General features: G+C 37.7%; 1 annotated feature.

The window, feature by feature from the left end:
- Positions 1–20,398: part of a centromere (Linear centromere model derived predominantly from reads generated in PMID: 17803354. This region does not represent an actual centromere sequence, as long-range ordering of repeats and unmapped WGS contigs is not provided by the model. For details of model production, see http://arxiv.org/abs/1307.0035.) that runs on past both edges of the window.

The following is a 20,398-nucleotide window of genomic DNA, read 5'->3' on the forward strand; positions in this document are numbered from 1 at the left end:
CTTTTGAAACTCAGTTTTTGTAGAATTTCCAGGTGGATATTTAGCGCCGTTTGAGGCCTATGGTGGAAAAGGCAATATCTTCATAGAAAAACTAGACAGAATGATTCTCAGAAACAACTTTGTGATGTGTGCGTTCAACTCACTGAGTTTAACCTTTCTTTTGATAGACCAGTTATGAAACACTCTTTTTGTAGAATCTGCAAGTAAATATTTGGACTTTTTTGAGGCCTTCATTGGAAACGGGATTTCTTCATATAAACCTTGACAGAAGAATTCTCAGAAACTTCTTTGTGATGGGTGCATTTAACTCTCAGAGTTCAACCTTCCTTTTGATAGAAGAGTGTTGAAATATTCTTTTTGTAGAATTTCCAAGTGAATATTTAGAGCGGTTTCAGGCCTATGTAGAAGAGGAAATATCTTCACAGAAAAACTAGACATAATTGTTCTCTGAAGCTACTCTGCGATGTGCGCATTCAGCTAACAGAGTTTAAGCTTTCGTTGGATAGAGCGGTTTTAAACCCTCTTTTTGTGGAATTTGCAATTCTATATTTAGAGTGCTTTCAGGCCTGTGGTACAAAAGGGAATGTCTTCACATAAAATCTAGACAGAATCATTGTCGGAAACTACTTTGTGATACCTGCCTTCAACTCTCAGAGTTGAATATTCCTCTTGATGGAGCAGTTTTGAAAAACTCTTTTTGTTGAATCTCCAAGTGGATATTTGGACCTCTTTGTGGCCTTCGTTTGAAACGTGACTGCTTCATACAAAAGTAGACAGAAGAATTCTCATCAACTTCTTCGTGATGTGTGCTTTCAACTCGCAGCGTTGAAGCTTCCTTTCGATAGAGCAGTTCAGTAACTCTCTTTTTGTAGAATTTCCAAGTGGATATTTAGCGCCGTTTGAGGCCAATGGTGGAAAAGGCAATATCTTCATAGAAAAACTAGACAGAATGATTCTCAGAAACTACTTTGTGATGTGTGCCTTCAACTCACAGAGTTTAACCTTCCTTTTGGTAGAGCAGTTTTGAAAAACTCTTTTTGTAGAATCTGCAAGTGTATATTGGGACTTTTCTGAGGCCATCCTTGGAAACGGGATTTCTTCATATAAAACTTGAAAGAAGAATCCTCAGAAAATTATTTGTGATATGTGCATTTAACTCATGGAGTTGAGACTTCCTTTCGATAGAAGAGTTTTGAAATACTCTTTTTGTAGAATTTCCAAGTGGATTTTTACAGCGGTTTGAGGTCTATGGCAGAAAAAGAAATATCTTCACAGAAAAACTAGGCAGATTCATTCTCCGAAGCTGTTTTGTGATGCTTGCATTAAGCGGACAGAGTTTAAACTTCCTTTGAAAGAGCAGTTTGGAAACACTCTTTTTGTGGAATTTGCAAGTGTATATTTAGAGCGTTTTGAGGCCTACAGTAGGAAAGGAAATATCTTCACATAAAAACTACACAGAAGTATTGTCAGAAACTTACTTGTGATATTTGCATTCAACGCACAGAGTTGAACATTCCTCTTGATGGAGCAGTTTTGAAACACTCTTTTTGCAGAATCTGCAGGTGGATATTTGGACCTCTTTGTGGCCTTCGTTTGAAACGTGATTTCTTCATTTACAACTAGACAGAAGAATTCTCAGAAACTTCTTTGTGATGTGTACCTTCAACTCACAGAGGTGAAGCTTCCTTTCAATAGAGCACATTTGAAACTCAGTTTTGGTGGAATTTCCAGGTGGATATTTAGCGCCGTTTGAGGCCTATGGTAGAAAAGGCAATATCTTCGTAGGAGAACTAGACAGAATGATTCTCAGAAGCTACTTTGTGATGTGTGGGTTCAACTCACTGAGTTTAACCTTTCTTTTGATAGACCAGTTATGAAACACTCTTTTTGTGGAATCGGCAAGTAAATATTTGGACTTTTTGGAGGCCTTCATTGGAAACGGGATTTCTTCATATAAACCTTGTCAGAAGAATTCTCAGAAACTTCTCTGTGATGTGTGCGTTTAACTCTTAGAGTTGAACATTCCTTTTGAGAGAAGAGTGTTGAAATATTCTTTCTGTAGAATTTCCAAGTGAATATTTGGAGCGGTTTCAGGCCTATGTAGAAGAGAAAATATCTTCACAGAAAAACTAGACATAATTTTTCTCTGAAGCCACTTTGTGATGTGCGCATTCAGCTGACAGAGTTTAAGCTTTCCTTGGATAGAGCGGTTTTAAACCCTCTTTTTGTGGAATTTGCAATTCTATATTTAGAGTGCTTTCAGGCCTGTGGTACAAAAGGGAATGTCTTCACATAAAATCTAGACCGAAGCATTGTCGGGAACTATTTTGTGATACCTGCCTTCAACTCTCAGAGTTGAATATTCCTCTTGAAGGAGCACTTTTGAAAAACTCTTTTTGTTGAATCTCCAAGTGGATATTTGGTCCTCTTTGTGGCCTTCGTTTGAAACGTGACTGCTTCATACAAAAGTAGACAGAAGAATTCTCATAAACTTCTTCGTGGTGTGTGCTTTCAACACGCAGAGTTGAAGCTTCCTTTCGATAGAGCAGTCTTGTAACTCTCTTATTGTAGAATTTCCAAGTGGATATTTAGCGCCGTATGAGGCCTATGGTGGAGAAGGCGATATCTTCATAGAAAAACTAGACAGAATGATTCTCAGAAACAACTTTGTGATGTGTGCCTTCAACTCACAGAGTTTAACCTTTCTTTTGATAGAGCAGTTTTGAAAAACTCTTTTTGTAGAATCTGCAAGTGTATATTGGGACTTTTCTGAGGCCATCTTTGGAAACGGGATTTCTTCATATAAAACTTGAAAGAAGAATCCTCAGAAAATTATTTGTGATATGTGCATTTAACTCATGGAGTTGAAACTTCCTTTCGATAGAAGAGTTTTGAAATACTCTTTTTGTAGAATTTCCAAGTGGATTTTTACAGCGGTTTGAGGTCTATGGCAGAAAAAGAAATATCTTCACAGAAAAACAAGGCAGATTCATTCTCCGAAGCTGCTTTGTGATGCTTGCATTCAGCTGACAGAGTTTAAACTTCCTTTGATAGAGCAGTTTTGAAACACTCTTTTTGTGGAATTTGCAAGTGTATATTTAGAGCGTTTTGAGGCCTACAGTAGGAAAGGAAATACCTTCACCTAAAAACTAGACAGAAGTATTGTCAGAAACTTATTTGTGATATTTCCATTCAACGCACGGAGTTGAACATTCCTCTTGATGGAGCCGTTTTGAAGCACTCTTTTTGTGGAATCTGCAAGTGGATATTTGGACCTCTTTGTGGCCTTCGTGTGAAACGTGATTTCTTCATTTACAACTAGACAGAAGAATTCTCAGAAACTTCTTTGTGATGTGTACTTTCAACTCACAGAGTTGAAGCTTCCTTTCAATAGAGCACCTTTGAAACTCAGTTTCTGTAGAATTTCCAGGTGGATATTTAGCGCCGTTTGAGGCCTATGGTGGAAAAGGCAATATCTTCGTAGAAAAACTAGACAGAATGATTCTCAGAAGCTACTTTGTGATGTGTGGGGTCAACTCACTGAGTTTAACCTTTCTTTTGATAGACCAGTTATGAAACACTCTTTTTGTGGAATCGGCAAGTAAATATTTGGACTTTTTGGAGGCCTTCATTGGAAACGGGGTTTCTTCATGTAAACCTTGACAGAAGAATTCCCAGAAACTTCTCTGTGATGTGTGCATTTAACTCTCAGAGTTCAACCTTCCTTTTGATAGAAGAGGGTTGAAATTTTCTTTTTGTAGAATTTCCAAGTGAATATTTAGAGCGGTTTCAGGCCTAAGTAGAAGAGAAAATATCTTCACAGAAAAACTAGACATAATTGTTCTCTGAAGCTACTCTGTGATGTGCGCATTCAGCTGACAGAGTTTAACCTTTCTTTGCATAGAGCGCTTTTAAACACTCTTTTTGTGGAATTTGCAATTCTATATTTAGAGTGCTTTCAGGCCTGTCGTACAAAAGGGAATGTCTTCACATAAAATCTAGACAGAAGCATTGTCGGAAACGACTTGGTGATACCTGCCTTCAACTCTCAGAGTTGAATATTCCTCTTGATGGAGCAGTTTTGAAAAACTCTTTTTGTTGAATCTCCACGTGGGTATTTGGACCTCTTTGTGGCCTTCGTTTGAAACGTGACTGCTTCATACAAAAGTAGACAGAAGAATTCTCATAAACTTCTTCGTGATGTGTGCTTTCAACTCGCAGCGTTGAAGCTTCCTTTCGATAGAGCAGTTTTGTGACTCTCTTTTTGTAGAATTTCCAAGTGGATATTTGGCGCCGTTTGAGGCTTATGGTGGAAAGTGCAATATCTTCCTAGAAAAACTAGACAGAATGATTCTCAGAAACTACTCTGTGATGTGTGCCTTCAACTCACAGAGTTTAACCTTCCTTTTGATAGAGCAGTTTTGAAAAACTCTTTTTGTAGAATCTGCAAGTGTATATTGGGACTTTTCTGAGGCCATCTTTGGAAACGGGATTTCTTCATATAAAACTTGAAAGAAGAATCCTCAGAAAATTATTTGTGATATGTGCATTTAACTCATGGAATTGAAACTTCCTTTCGATAGAAGAGTTTTGACATCCTCTTTTTGTAGAATTTCCAAGTGGATTTTTACAGCGGTTTGAGGTCTATGGCAGAAAAAGAAATATCTTCACAGAAAAACAAGGCAGATTCATTCTCCGAAGCTGTTTTGTGATGCTTGCATTCAGCTGACAGAGTTTAAACTTCGTTTGATAGAGCAGTTTGGAAACACTCTTTTTGTGGAGTTTGCAAGTGTTTATTTAGAGCGTTTTGAGGCCTACAGTAGGAAAGGAAATATCTTCACATAAAAACTAGACAGAAGTATTGTCAGAAACTTATTTGTGATATTTGCATGGAATGCACAGAGTTGAACATTCCTCTTGATGGAGCAGTTTTGAAACACTCTTTTTGTAGAATCTGCAAGTGGATATTTGGACCTCTTTGTGGCCTTCGTTTGAAACGTGATTTCTTCATTTACAACTAGACAGAAGAATTCTCAGAAACTTCTTTGTGATGTGTACCTTCAACTCACAGAGTTGAAGCTTCCTTTCAATAGAGCACCTTAGAAACTCAGTTTTTGTAGAATTTCCAGGTGGATATTTAGCACCGTTTGAGGCCTATGGTAGAAAAGGCAATATCTTCGTAGGAGGACTAGACAGAATGATTCTCAGAAGCTACTTTGTGATGTGTGGGTTCAACTCACTGAGTTTAACCTTTCTTTTGATAGACCAGTTTATGAAACACTCTTTTTGTAGAATCTGCAAGTAAATATTTGGACTTTTTTGAGGCCTTCATTGGAAACGGGGTTTCTTCATATAAACCTTGACAGAAGAATTCTCAGAAACTTCTCTGTGATGTGTGCGTTTAACTCTCAGAGTTCAACCTTCCTTTTGATAGAAGAGTGTTGAAATATTCTTTTTGTAGAATTTCCAAGTGAATATTTAGAGCGGTTTCAGGCCTATGTAGAAGAGAAAATATCTCCACAGAAAAACTAGACACAATTGTTCTCTGAAGCTACTCTGTGATGTGCGCATTCAGCTGACAGAGTTTAACCTTTCTTTGGATAGAGTGCTTTTAAACACTCTTTTTGTGGAATTTGCAATTCTATATTTAGAGTGCTTTCAGGCCTGTCGTACAAAAGGGAATGTCTTCACATAAAATCTAGACAGAAGCATTGTCGGAAACGACTTGGTGATACCTGCCTTCAACTCTCAGAGTTGAATATTCCTCTTGATGGAGCAGTTTTGAAAAACTCTTTTTGTTGAATCTCCACGTGGGTATTTGGACCTCTTTGTGGCCTTCGTTTGAAACGTGACTGCTTCATACAAAAGTAGACAGAAGAGTTCTCATCACCTTCTTCGCGATGTGTGCTTTCAACTCGCAGAGTTGCAGCTTCCTTTCGATAGAGCAGTTTTGTAACTCTCTTTTTGTAGAATTTCCAAGTGGATATTTAGCGCCGTTTGAGGCCTATGGTGGAAAAGGCAATATCTTCATAGAAAAACTAGACAGAATGATTCTCAGAAACTACTTTGTGATGTGTGCCTTCAACTCACAGAGTTTAAACTTTCTTTTGATAGAGCAGTTTTGAAAAACTCTTTTTGTAGAATCTGCAAGTGTATATTGGGACTTTTCTGAGGCCATCTTTGGAAACTGGATTTCTTCATATAAAACTTGAAGGAAGAATCCTCAGAAAATTATTTGTGATATGTGCATTTAACTCATGGAGTTGAATATTCCTTTCGATAGAAGAGTTTTGAAATACTCTTTTTGTAGAATTTCCAAGTGGATTTTTACAGCGGTTTGAGGTCTATGGCAGCAAAAGGAATATCTTCACAGAAAAACTAGGCAGATTCATTCTCCGAAGCTGTTTTGTGATGCTTGCATTAAGCTGACAGAGTTTAAACTTCCTTTGATAGAGCAGTTTGGAAACACTCTTTTTGTGGAATTTGCAAGTGTATATTTAGAGCGTTTTGAGGCCTACAGTAGGAAAGGAAATAACTTCACATAAAAACTAGACAGAAGTATTGTCAGAAACTTATTTGTGATATTTGCATTCAACGCACAGAGTTGAACATTCCTCTTGATGGAGCAGTTTTGAAACACTCTTTTTGTAGAATCTGCAGGTGGATATTTGGACCTCTTTGTAGCCTTCGTTTGAAACGTGATTTCTTCATTTACAACTAGACAGAAGAATTCTCAGAAACCTCTTTGTGATGTGTACCTTCAACTCACAGAGGTGAAGCTTCCTTTCACTAGAGCACTTTTGAAACTCAGTTTTGGTAGAATTTCCAGGTGGATATTTTGCGCCATTTGAGGCCTATGGTAGAAAAGGCAATATCTTCGTAGGAGAACTAGACAGAATGATTCTCAGAAGCTAATTTGTGATGTGTGGGTTGAACTCAGTGAGTTTAACCTTTCTTTTGATAGACCAGTTATGAAACACTCTTTCTGTGGAATCGGCAAGTAAATATTTGGACTTTTTTGAGGCCTTCATTCGAAACGGGGTTTCTTCATATAAACATTGACAGAAGAATTCCCAGAAACTTCTCTGTGATGTGTGCATTTAACTCTCAGAGTTCAACCTTCCTTTTGATAGAAGAGGGTTGAAATATTCTTTTTGTAGAATTTCCAAGTGAATATTTAGAGCGGTTTCAGGCCTATGTAGAAGAGAAAATATCTTCACAGAAAAACTAGACATAATTGTTCTCTGAAGCTACTCTGTGATGTGCGCATTCAGCTGACAGAGTTTAACCTTTCGTTAGATAGAGCGGTTTTAAACCCTCTTTTTATGGAATTTGCTATTCTATATTTAGAGTGCTTTCTGGCCTGTGGTACAAAAGGGAATGTCTTCACATAAAATCTTGACAGAAGCATTGCCGGGAACTACTTTGTGATACCTGCCTTCAACTCTCAGAGTTGAATATTCCTCTTGACGGAGCAGTTTTGAAAAACTCTTTTTGTTGTATCTCCAAGTGGATATTTGGACCTCTTCGTGGCCTTCGTTTGAAACGTGACTGCTTCATACAAAAGTAGACAGAAGAATTCTCATAAACTTCTTCGTGATGTGTGCTTTCAACTCGCAGAGTTGAAGCTTCCTTTCGATAGAGCAGTCTTGTAACTCTCTTTTTGTAGAATTTCCAAGTGGATATGTAGCGCCGCTTGAGGCCTATGGTGGAGAAGGCGATATCTTCATAGAAAAATTAGACAGAATGATTCTCAGAAACTACTCTGTGATGTGTGCCTTCAACTCACAGAGATTAACCTTCCTTTTGATAGAGCAGTTTTGAAAAACTCTTTTTGTAGAATCTGCAAGTGTATATTGGGACTTTTCTGAGGCCATCTTTGGAAACGGGATTTCTTCATATAAAACTTGAAAGAAGAATCCTCAGAAAATTATTTGTGATATGTGCATTTAACTCATGGAGCTGAAACTTCCTTTCGATAGAAGAGCTTTGAAATACTCTTTTTGTAGAATTTCCAAGTGGATTTTTACAGCGGTTTGGGGTCTATGGCAGAAAAAGAAATATCTTCACAGAAAAACTAGGCAGATTCATTCTCCGAAGCTGTTTTGTGATGCTTGCATTAAGCGGACAGAGTTTCAACTTCTTTGATAGAGCAGTTTGGAAACACTCTTTTTGTGTAATTTGCAAGTGTATATTTAGAGCGTTTTGTGGCCTACAGTACGAAAGGAAATATCTTCACATAAAAACTAGACAGAAGTATTGTCAGAAACTTATTTGTGATATTTGCATTCAACGCACAGAATTGAACATTCCTCTTGATGGAGCCGTTTTGAGACACTCTTTTTGTAGAATCTGTAAGTGGATATTTGGACCTCTTTGTGGCCTTCGTGTGAAACGTGATTTCTTCATTTACAACTAGACAGAAGAATTCTCAGAAACTTCTTTGTGATGTGTACCTTCAACTCACAGAGGTGAAGCTTCCTTTCAATAGAGCACTTTTGAAGCTCAGCTTTGGTAGAATTTCCAGGTGGATATTTAGCGCCGTTTGAGGCCTATGGTAGAAAAGGCAATATCTTCGTAGGAGAACTAGACAGAATGATTCTCAGAAACTACTTTGTGATGTGTGGGTTCAACTCACTGAGTTTAACCTTTCTTTTGATAGACCAGTTATGAAACACTCTTTGTGTAGAATCTGCAAGTAAATATTTGGACTTTTTTGAGGCCTTCATTGGAAACGGGATTTCTTCATAGAAACCTTGACAGAAGAATTCTCAGAAACTTCTTTGTGATGTGTGCATTTAACTCTCAGAGTTCAACCTTCCTTTTGATAGAAGAGTGTTGAAATATTCTTCTTGTAGAATTTCCAAGTGAATATTTAGAGCGGTTTCAGGCCTATGTAGAAGAGAAAGTATCTTCACAGAAAAACAAGACATAATTGTTCTCTGAAGCTACTTTCTGATGTGCGCATTCAGCTTACAGAGTTTAACCTTTCTTTGGATGGAGCGGTTTTAAACACTCTTTTTGAGGAATTTGCAATTCTATATTTAGAGTGCTTTCAGGCCTGTGGTACAAAAGGGAATGTCCTCACATAAAATCTAGACAGAAGCATTGTCGGAAACTACTTTGTGATACCTGCCTTCAACTCTCAGAGTTGAATATTCCTCTTGATGGAGCAGTTTTGAAAAACTCTTTTTGTTGAATCTCCAAGTGGATATTTGGACCTCTTTGTGGCCTTCGTTTGAGACGTGACTGCTTCATACAAAAGTAGACAGAAGAATTCTCATAAACTTCTTCGTGATGTGTGCTTTCAACTCGCGGAATTGAAGCTTCCTTTCGATAGAGCAGTCTTGTAACTCTCTTTTTGTAGAATTTCCAAGTGTATATTTAGCGCTGTTAGAGGCCTATGGTGGAGAAGGAGATATCTTCATAGAAAAACTAGACAGAATGATTCTCAGAAACTACTCTGTGATGTGTGCCTTCAACTCACAGAGTTTAACCTTCCTTTTGATAGAGCAGTTTTGAAAAACACTTTTTGTAGAATCTGCAAGTGTATATTGGGACTTTTCTGAGGCCATCTTTGGAAACGGGATTTCTTCATATAAAACTTGAAAGAAGAATCCTCAGAAAATTATTTGTGATATGTGCATTTAACTCATGGAGCTGAAACTTCCTTTCGATAGAAGAGCTTTGAAATTCTCTTTTTGTAGAATTTCCAAGTGGATTTTTACAGCCGTTCGGGGTCTATGGCAGAAAAAGAAATATCTTCACACAAAAACTAGGCAGATTCATTCTCCGAAGCTGTTTTGTGATGCTTGCATTAAGCTGACAGAGTTTAAACTTCCTTTGATAGAGCAGTTGGGAAACACTCTTTTTGTGGAATTTGCAAGTGTATATTTAGAGCGTTTTGAGGCCTACAGTAGGAAAGGAAATATCTTCACATAAAAACTAGACAGAAGTATTGTCAGAAACTTATTTGTGATATTTGCATTCAACGCACCGAGTTGAACATTCCTCTTGATGGAGCAGTTTTGAAACACTCTTTTTGTAGAATCTGCAGGTGGATATTTGGACCTCTTTGTGGCGTTCGTTTGAAACGTGATTTCTTCATTTACAACTAGACAGAAGAATTCTCAGTAACTTCTTTGTGATGTGTACTTTCAACTCACAGAGTTGAAGCCTCCTTTCAATAGAGCACTTTTGAAACTCAGTTTCTGTAGAATTTCCAGGTGGATATTTAGCGCCGTTTGAGGCCTATGGTGGAAAAGGCAATATCTTCGTAGAAAAACTAGACAGAATGATTCTCAGAAACAACTTTGTGATGTGTGCGTTCAACTCACGGAGTTTAACCTTTCTTTTGATAGACCAGTTATGAAACACTCTTTTTGTAGAATCTGCAGGTAAATATTTGGACTTTTTTGAGGCCTTCATTGGAAACGGGATCTCTTCATATAAACCTTGACAGAAGAATTCCCAGAAACTTCTCTGTGATGTGTGCATTTAACTCTCAGAGTTCAACCTTCCTTTTGATAGAAGAGGGTTGAAATTTTCTTTTTGTAGAATTTCCAAGTGAATATTTAGAGCGGTTTCAGGCCTAAGTAGAAGAGAAAATATCTTCACAGAAAAACTAGACATAATTGTTCTCTGAAGCTACTCTGTGATGTGCGCATTCAGCTGACAGAGTTTAACCTTTCGTTGGATAGAGCGGTTTTAAACCCTCTTTTTGTGGAATTTGCTATTCTATCTTTAGAGTGCTTTCAGGCCTCTGGTACAAAAGGGAATGTCTTCACATAAAATCTAGACAGAAGCATTGCCGGGAACTACTTTGTGATACCTGCCTTCAACTCTCAGAGTTGAATATTCCTCTTGACGGAGCAGTTTTGAAAAACTCTTTTTGTTGAATCTCCAAGTGGATATTTGGACCTCTTTGTGGCCTTCGTTTGAAACGTGACTGCTTCATACAAAAGTAGACAGAAAGAATTCTCATAAAATTCTTCGTGATGTGTGCTTTCAACTCGCAGCGTTGAAGCTTCCTTTCGATAGAGCAGTTCTGTAACTCTCTTATTGTAGAATTTCCAAGTGGATATTTAGCGCCGTTTGAGGCCTATGGTGGAAAAGGCAATATCTTCATAGAAAAACTAGACAGAATGATTCTCAGAAACTACTTTGTGACGTGTGCCTTCAACTCACAGAGTTTAACCTTCCTTTTGGTAGATCAGTTTTGAAAAACTCTTTTTGTAGAATCTGCAAGTGTATATTGGGACTTTTCTGAGGCCATCTTTGGAAACGGGATTTCTTCATATAAAACTTGAAAGAAGAATCCTCAGAAAATTATTTGTGATATGTGCATTTAACTCATGGAGTTGAGAGTTCCTTTCGATAGAAGAGTTTTGAAATACTCTTTTTGTAGAATTTCCAAGTGGATTTTTACAACGGTTTGAGGTCTATGGCAGAAAAAGTAATATCTTCACAGAAAAATTAGGCAGATTCATTCTCCGAAGCTGTTTTGTGATGCTTGCATTAAGCTGACAGAGTTTAAACTTCCTTTGATAGATCAGTTTGGAAACACTATTTTTGTGGAATTTGCAAGTGTATATTTAGAGTGTTTTGAGGCCTACAGTAGGAAAGGAAATATCTTCACATAAAAACTACACAGAAGTATTGTCAGAAACTTATTTGTGATATTTGCATTCAACGCACAGAATTGAACATTCCTCTTGATGGAGCCGTTTTGAGACACTCTTTTTGTAGAATCTGCAAGTGGATATTTGGACCTCTTTGTGGCCTTCGTGTGAAATGTGATTTCTTCATTTACAACTAGACAGAAGAATTCTCAGAAACTTCTTTGTGATGAGTACCTTCAACTCACAGAGGTGAAGCTTCCTTTCAATAGAGCACTTTTGAAGCTCAGTTTTGGTAGAATTTCCAGGTGGATATTTAGCGCCGTTTGAGGCCTATGGTAGAAAAGGCAATATCTTCGTAGGAGAACTAGACAGAATGATTCTCAGAAACAACTTTGTGATGTGTGCGTTCAACTCACTGAGTTTAACCTTTCTTTTGATAGACCAGTTATGAAACACTCTTTTTGTAGAATCTGCAAGTAAATATTTGGACTTTTTTGAGGCCTTCATTGGAAACGGGATTTCTTCATATAAACCTTGACAGAAGAATTCTCAGAAACTTCTCTGTGATGTGTGCGTTTAACTCTCAGAGTTCAACCTTCCTTTTGATACAAGAGTGTTGAAATATTCTTTTTGTAGAATTTCCAAGTGAATATTTAGAGCGGTCTCAGGCCTATGTAGAAGAGAAACTATCTTCACAGAAAAACTAGACATAATTGTTCTCTGAAGCTACTCTGTGATGTGCGCATTCAGCTGACAGAATTTAAACTTTCTTTGGATAGAGCGGTTTTAAACACTCCTTTTGTGGAATTTGCAGTTCCATATTTAGAGTGCTTTCAGGCCTGTGGTACAAAAGGGAATGTCTTCACATAAAATCTAGACAGAAGCATTGTCGGGAACTACTTTGGGATACCTGCCTTCAACTCTCAGAGTTGAATATTCCTCTTGATGGAGCAGTTTTGAAAAACTCTTTTTGTTGAATCTCCAAGTGGATATTTGGACCTCTTTGTGGCCTTCGTTTGAAACGTGACTGCTTCACACAAAAGTAGACAGAAGAATTCTCATAAACTTCTTCGTGATGTGTGCTTTCAACTCGCAGCGTTGAAGCTTCCTTTCGATAGAGCAGTTTTGTGACTCTCTTTTTGTAGAATTTCCAAGTGGATATTTGGCGCCGTTTGGGGCTTATGGTGGAAAAGGCAATATCTTCCTAGAAAAACTAGACAGAATGATTCTCAGAAACTACATTGTGATGTGTGCCTTCAACTCACAGAGTTTAACCTTTCTTTGGATAGAGCAGTTTTGAAAAACTCTTTTTGTAGAATCTGCAAGGGTATATTGGGACTTTTCTGAGGCCATCTTTGGAAACGGGATTTCTTCATATAAAACTTCAAAGAAGAATCCTCAGAAAATTATTTGTGATATGTGCATTTAACTCATGGAGTTGAGACTTCCTTTCGATAGAAGAGTTTTGAAATACTCTTTTTGTAGAATTTCCAAGTGGATTTTTACAGCGGTTTGAGGTCTATGGCAGAAAAAGAAATATCTTCACAGAAAAACTAGGCAGATCCATTCTCCGAAGCTGTTTTGTGACGCTTGCATTCAGCTGACAGAGTTTAAACTTCCTTTGATAGAGCAGTTTTGAAACACTCTTTTTGTGGAATTTGCAAGTGTATATTTAGAGCGTTTTGAGGCCTACAGTAGGAAAGGAAATACCTTCACCTAAAAACTAGACAGAAGTATTGTCAGAAACTTATTTGTGATATTTGCATTCAACGCACGGAGTTGAACATTCCTCTTGATGGAGCCGTTTTGAAGCACTCTTTTTGTGGAATCTGCAAGTGGATATTTGGACCTCTTTGTGGCCTTCGTGGGAAACGTGATTTCTTCATTTACAACTAGACAGAAGAATTCTCAGAAACTTCTTTGTGATGTGTACCTTCAACTCACAGAGGTGAAGCTTCCTTTCACTAGAGCACTTTTGAAACTCAGTTTTGGTAGAATTTCCAGGTGGATATTTAGCGCCGTTTGAGGCCTATGGTAGAAAAGGCAATATCTTCGTAGGAGAACTAGACAGAATGATTCTCAGAAGCTAGTTTGTGATGTGTGGGTTCAACTCACTGAGTTTAACCTTTCTTTTGATAGACCAGTTATGAAACACTCTTTTTGTGGAATCTGCAAGTAAATATTTGGACTTTTTTGAGGCCTTCATTGGAAACGGGGTTTCTTCATATAAACCTTGACAGAAGAATTCTCAGAAACTTCTCTGTGATGTGTGCGTTAAACTCTCAGAGTTCAACCTTCCTTTTGATAGAAGAGTGTTGAAATATTCTTTTTGTAGAATTTCCAAGTGAATATTTAGAGCGGTTTCAGGCCTATGTAGAAGAGAAAATATCTCCACAGAAAAACTAGACACAATTGTTCTCTGAAGCTACTCTGTGATGTGCGCATTCAGCTGGCAGAGTTTAACCTTTCTTTGCATAGAGCGGTTTTAAACCCTCTTTTTGTGGAATTTGCAATTCTGTATTTAGAGTGCTTTCAGGCCTGTGGTACAAAAGGGAATGTCTTCACATAAAATCTAGACAGAAGCATTGTCGGGAACTACTTTGGGATACCTGCCTTCAACTCTCAGAGTTGAATATTCCTCTTGATGGAGCAGTTTTGAAAAACTCTTTTTGTTGAATCTCCAAGTGGATATTTGGACCTCTTTGTGGCCTTCGTTTGAAACGTGACTGCTTCATACAAAAGTAGACAGAAGAATTCTCATAAACTACTTCGTGATGTGTGCTTTTAACTCGCAGAGTTGAAGCTTCCTTTCGATAGAGCAGTTTAGTAACTCTCTTTTTGTAGAATTTCCAAGTGGATATTTAGCGCCGTTTGAGGCCTATGGTGGAAAAGGCAATATCTTCATAGAAAAACTAGACAGAATGATTCTCAGAAACTACTTTGTGATGTGTGCCTTCAACTCACAGAGTTTAACCTTCCTTTTGGTAGAGCAGTTTTGAAAAACTCTTTTTGTAGAATCTGCAAGTGTATATTGGGACTTTTCTGAGGCCATCTTTGGAAACGGGATTTCTTCATATAAAACTTGAAAGAAGAATCCTCAGAAAATTATTTGTGATATGTGCATTTAACTCATGGAATTGAAACTTCCTTTCGATAGAAGAGTTTTGACATCCTCTTTTTGTAGAATTTCCAAGTGGATTTTTACAGCGGTTTGAGGTCTATGGCAGAAAAAGAAATATCTTCACAGAAAAACTAGGCAGATTCATTCTCCGAAGCTGTTTTGTGATGCTTGCATTAAGCGGACAGAGTTCAAACTTCCTTTGATAGAGCAGTTTGGAAACACTCTTTTTGTGGAATTTGCAAGTGTATATTTAGAGCGTTTTGAGGCCTACAGTAGGAAAGGAAATATCTTCACATAAAAACTAGACAGAAGTATTGTCAGAAACTTATTTGTGATATTTGCATTCAACGCACCGAGTTGAACAATCCTCTTGATGGAGCAGTTTGGAAACACTCTTTTTGTAGAATCTGCAGGTGGATATTTGGACCTCTTTGTGGCCTTCGTTTGAAACGTGATTTCTTCATTTACAACTAGACAGAAGAATTCTCAGAAACTTCTTAGTGATGTGTACCTTCAACTCACAGAGGTGAAGCTTCCTTTCAATAGAGCACTTTTGAAACTCAGTTTTGGTAGAATTTCCAGGTGGATGTTTGGCGCCGTTTGAGGCCTATGGTAGAAAAGGCAATATCTCCGTAGGAGAACTAGACAGAATGATTCTCAGAAGCTACCTTGTGATGTGTGGGTTCAACTCACTGAGTTTAACCTTTCTTTTGATAGACCAGTTATGAAACACTCTTTTTCTGGAATCTGCAAGTAAATATTTGGACTTTTTTGAGGCCTTCATTGGAAACGGGGTTTCCTCATATAAACCTTGACAGAAGAATTCTCAGAAACTTCTCTGTGATGTGTGTGTTTACCTCTCAGAGTTCAACCTTCCTTTTGATAGAAGAGTGTTGAAATATTCTTTTTGCAGAATTTCCAAGTGAATATTTAGAGCGGTCTCAGGCCTATGTAGAAGAGAAACTATCTTCACGGAAAAACTAGACATAATTGTTCTCTGAAGCTACTTTGTGATGTGTGCATTCAGCTTACAGAGTTTAACCTTTCTTTGGATAGAGCGGTTTTAAACACTCTTTTTGTGGAATTTGCAGTTCTATATTTAGAGTGCTTTCAGGCCTGTGGTACAAAAGGGAATGTCCTCACATAAAATCTAGACAGAAGCATTGTCGGGAACTACTTTGTGATACCAGCCTTCAACTCGCAGAGTTGAATATTCCTCTTGACAGAGCAGTTTTGAAAAACTCTTTTTGTTGAATCTCCAAGTGGATATTTGGACCTCGTTGTGGCCTTCTTTTGAAACGTGACTGCTTCATACAAAAGTAGACAGAAGAATTCTCATAAACTTCTTGGTGATGTGTGCTTTCAACTCGCAGCGTTGAAGCTTCCTTTCGATAGAGCAGTTTAGTAACTCTCTTTTTGTAGAATTTCCAAGTGGATATTTAGCGCCGTTTGAGGCCTATGGTGGAAAAGGCAATATCTTCATAGAAAAACTAGACAGAATGATTCTCAGAAACTACTTTGTGATGTTTGCCTTCAACTCACAGAGTTTAACCTTCCTTTTGGTAGAGCAGTTTTGAAAAACTCTTTTTGTAGAATCTGCAAGTGTATATTGGGACTTTTCTGAGGCCATCTTTGGAAACGGGATTTCTTCATATAAAACTTGAAAGAAGAATCCTCAGAAAATTATTTGTGATATGTGCATTTAACTCATGGAGTTGAGACTTCCTTTCGATAGAAGAGTTTTGAAATACTCTTTTTGTAGAATTTCCAAGTGGATTTTTACAGCGGTTTGAGGTCTATGGCAGAAAAAGAAATATCTTCACAGAAAAACTAGGCAGATTCATTCTCCGAAGCTGTTTTGTGATGCTTGCATTAAGCGGACAGAGTTTAAACTTCCTTTGAGAGAGCAGTTTGGAAACACTCTTTTTGTGGAATTTGCAAGTGTATCTTTAGAGCGTTTTGAGGCCTACAGTAGGAAAGGAAATATCTTCACATAAAAACTACACAGAAGTATTGTCAGAAACTTACTTGTGATATTTGCATTCAACGCACAGAGTTGAACATTCCTCTTGATGGAGCAGTTTTGAAACACTCTTTTTGCAGAATCTGCAGGTGGATATTTGGACCTATTTGTGGCCTTCGTTTGAAACGTGATTTCTTCATTTACAACTAGACAGAAGACTTCTCAGAAACTTCTTTGTGATGTGTACCTTCAACTCACAGAGGTGAAGCTTCCTTTCAATAGAGCACTTTTGAAGCTCAGTTTTGGTAGAATTTCCAGGTGGATATTTAGCGCCGTTTGAGGCCTATGGTAGAAAAGGCAATATCTTCGTAGGAGAACTAGACAGAATGATTCTCAGGAAACTACTTTGTGATGTGTGGGTTCAACTCACTGAGTTTAACCTTTCTTTTGATAGACCAGTTATGAAACACTCTTTTTGTAGAATCTGCAAGTAAATATTTGGACTTTTTTGAGGCCTTCATTGGAAACGGGATTTCTTCATATAAACCTTGACAGAAGAATTCTCAGAAACTTCTCTGTGATGTGTGCGTTTAACTCTCAGAGTTCAACCTTCCTTTTGATGGAAGAGTGTTGAAGCATTCTTTTTGTAGAATTTCCAAGTGAATATTTAGAGCGGTTTCAGGCCTATGTAGAAGAGAAAATATCTTCCCAGAAAGACTAGACATAATTGTTCTCTGAAGCTACTTTGTGATGTGCGCATTCAGCTTACAGAGATTAACCTTTCTTTGGATAGAGCGGTTTTAAACACTCTTTTTGTGGAATTTGCAATTCTATATTTAGAGTGCTTTCAGGCCTCTGGTACAAAAGGGAATATCTTCACATAAAATCTAGACAGAAGCATTGTCGGAAACTACTTTGTGATACCTGCCTTCATCTCTCCGAGTTGAATATTCCTCGTGATGGAGCAGTTTTGAAAATCTCTTTTTGTTGAATCTCCAAGTGGATATTTGGGCCTCTTTGTGGTCTTCGTTTGAAAAGTGACTTCTTCATACAAAACTAGACAGAAGAATTCTCATAAACTTCTTCGTGATGTGTGCTTTCAACTCGCAGAGTTGAAGCTTCCTTTCGATAGAGCAGTCTTGTAAATCTCTTTTTGTAGAATTTCCAAGTGGATATTTAGTGCCGCTTGAGGCCTATGGTGGAGAAGGCGATATCTTCATAGAAAAACTAGACAGAATGATTCTCAGAAACTGCTTTGTCATGTGTGCCTTCAACTCACAGAGTTTAACCTTTCTTTTGGTAGAGCAGTTTTGAAAAGCTCTTTTTGTAGAATCTGCAAGTGTATATTGGGACTTATCTGAGGCCATCTTTGGAAACGGGATTTCTTCATATAAAACTTCAAAGAAGAATCCTCAGAAAATTATTTGTGATATGTGCGTTTAACTCATGGAGTTGCAACTTCCTTTCGATAGAAGAGTTTTGAAATACTCTTTTTGTAGAATTTCCAGTGGATTTTTACAGCGGTTTGAGGTCTATGGCAGAAAAAGGAATATCTTCACAGAAAAACTAGGCAGATTCATTCTCCGAAGCTGTTTTGTGATGCTTGCATTAAGCTTACAGAGTTTAAAGTTCCTTTGATAGAGCAGTTTTGAAACACTCTTCTTGTGGAATTTGCAAGTGTATATTTAGAGCGGTTTGAGGCCCACAGTAGGAAAGGAAATATCTTCACATAAAAACTAGACAGAAGTATTGTCAGAAACTTATTTGTGATATTTGCATTCAACGCACAGAGTTGAACATTCCTCTTGATGGAGCAGATTTGAAACCCTCTTTTTGCAGAATCTGCAGCTGGATATTTGGACCTCTTTGTGGCCTTCGTTTGAAACGTGATTTCTGCATTTACAACTAGACAGAAGAATTCTCAGAAACTTCTTTGTGATGTGTACCTTCAACTCACAGAGGTGAAGCTTCCTTTCAATAGAGCACTTTTGAAACTCAGTTTTGGTAGAATTTCCAGGTGGATATTTAGCGCCGTTTGAGGCCTATGGTAGAAAAGGCAATATCTTCGTAGGAGAACTAGACTGAATGATTCTCAGAAGCTACTTTGTGATGTGTGGGTTCAACTCACTGAGTTTAACCTTTCTTTTGATAGACCAGTTATGAAACACTCTTTTTGTGGAATCTGCAAGTAAATTTTTGGACTTTTTTGAGGCCTTCATTGGAAACGGGGTTTCTTCATATAAACCTTGACAGAAGAATTCTCAGAAACTTCTCTGTGATGTGTGCGTTTAACTCTCAGAGTTCAACCTTCCTTTTGATAGAAGAGTGTTGAAATATTCTTTTTGCAGAATTTCCAAGTGAATATTTAGAGCGGTTTCAGGCCTATGTAGAAGAGAAACTATCTTCACAGAAAAACTAGACATAATTGTTCTCTGAAGCTACTTTGCGATGTGCGCATTCAGCTTACAGAGTTTAACCTTTCTTTGGATAGAGCGGTTTTAAACACTCTTTTTGTGGAATTTGCAATTCTATATTTAGAGTGCTTTCAGCCTGTGGTACAAAAGAGAATGTCCTCACATAAAATCTAGACAGAAGCATTGTCGGGAACTACATTGCGATACCTGCCTTCAACTCTCAGAGTTGAATATTCCTCTTGATGGAGCAGTTTTGAAAAACTCTTTTTGTTGAATCTCCAAGTGGATATTTGGACCTCTTTGTGGCCTTCGTTTGAAACGTGACTGTTTCACACAAATGTAGTCAGAAGAATTCTCATAAACTTCTTCGTGATGTGTGCTTTCAACTCGCAGCGTTGAAGCTTCCTTTCGATAGAGCAGTTTAGTAACTCTCTTTTTGTAGAATTTCCAAGTGGATATTTAGCGCCGTTTGAGGCCTATGGTGGAAAAGGCAATATCTTCATAGAAAAACTAGACAGAATGATTCTCAGAAACTACTTTGTGATGTGTGCCTTCAACTCACAGAGTTTAACCTTTCTTTTGATAGAGCAGTTTTGAAAAACTCTTTTTGTAGAATCTGCAAGTGTATATTGGGACTTTTCTGAGGCCATCTTTGGAAACGGGATTTCTTCATATAAAACTTGAAAGAAGAATCCTCAGAAAATTATTTGTGATATGTGCATTTAACTCATGGATTTGAAACTTCCTTTCGATAGAAGAGCTTTGCAATACTCTTTTTGTAGAATTTCCAAGTGGATTTTTACAGCGGTTTGAGGTCTATGCCAGGAAAAGAAATATCTTCACAGAAAAACTAGGCAGATTCATTCTCCGAAGCTGTTTTGTGATGCTTGCATTAAGCGGACAGAGTTTAAACCTCCTTTGATAGAGCAGTTTGGAAACACTCTTTTTGTGGAATTTGCAAGTGTATATTTAGAGCGTTTTGAGGCCTACAGTAGGAAAGGAAATATCTTCACATAAAAACTATACAGAAGTATTCTCAGAAACTTACTTGTGATATTTGCATTCAACGAACAGAGTTGAACATTCCTCTTGATGGAGCAGTTTTGAAACACTCTTTTTGTAGAATCTGCAGGTGGATATTTGGACCTCTTTGTGGCCTTCTTTTGAAACGTGATTTCTTCATTTACAACTAGACAGAAGAATTCTCAGAAACTTCTTTGTGATGAGTACCTTCAACTCACAGAGGTGAAGCTTCCTTTCAATAGAGCACTTTTGAAGC

Source organism: Homo sapiens, chromosome 3 (assembly GCF_000001405.40).
Source record: "Homo sapiens chromosome 3, GRCh38.p14 Primary Assembly".
NCBI classification, from domain to species: Eukaryota; Metazoa; Chordata; class Mammalia; order Primates; family Hominidae; genus Homo; species Homo sapiens.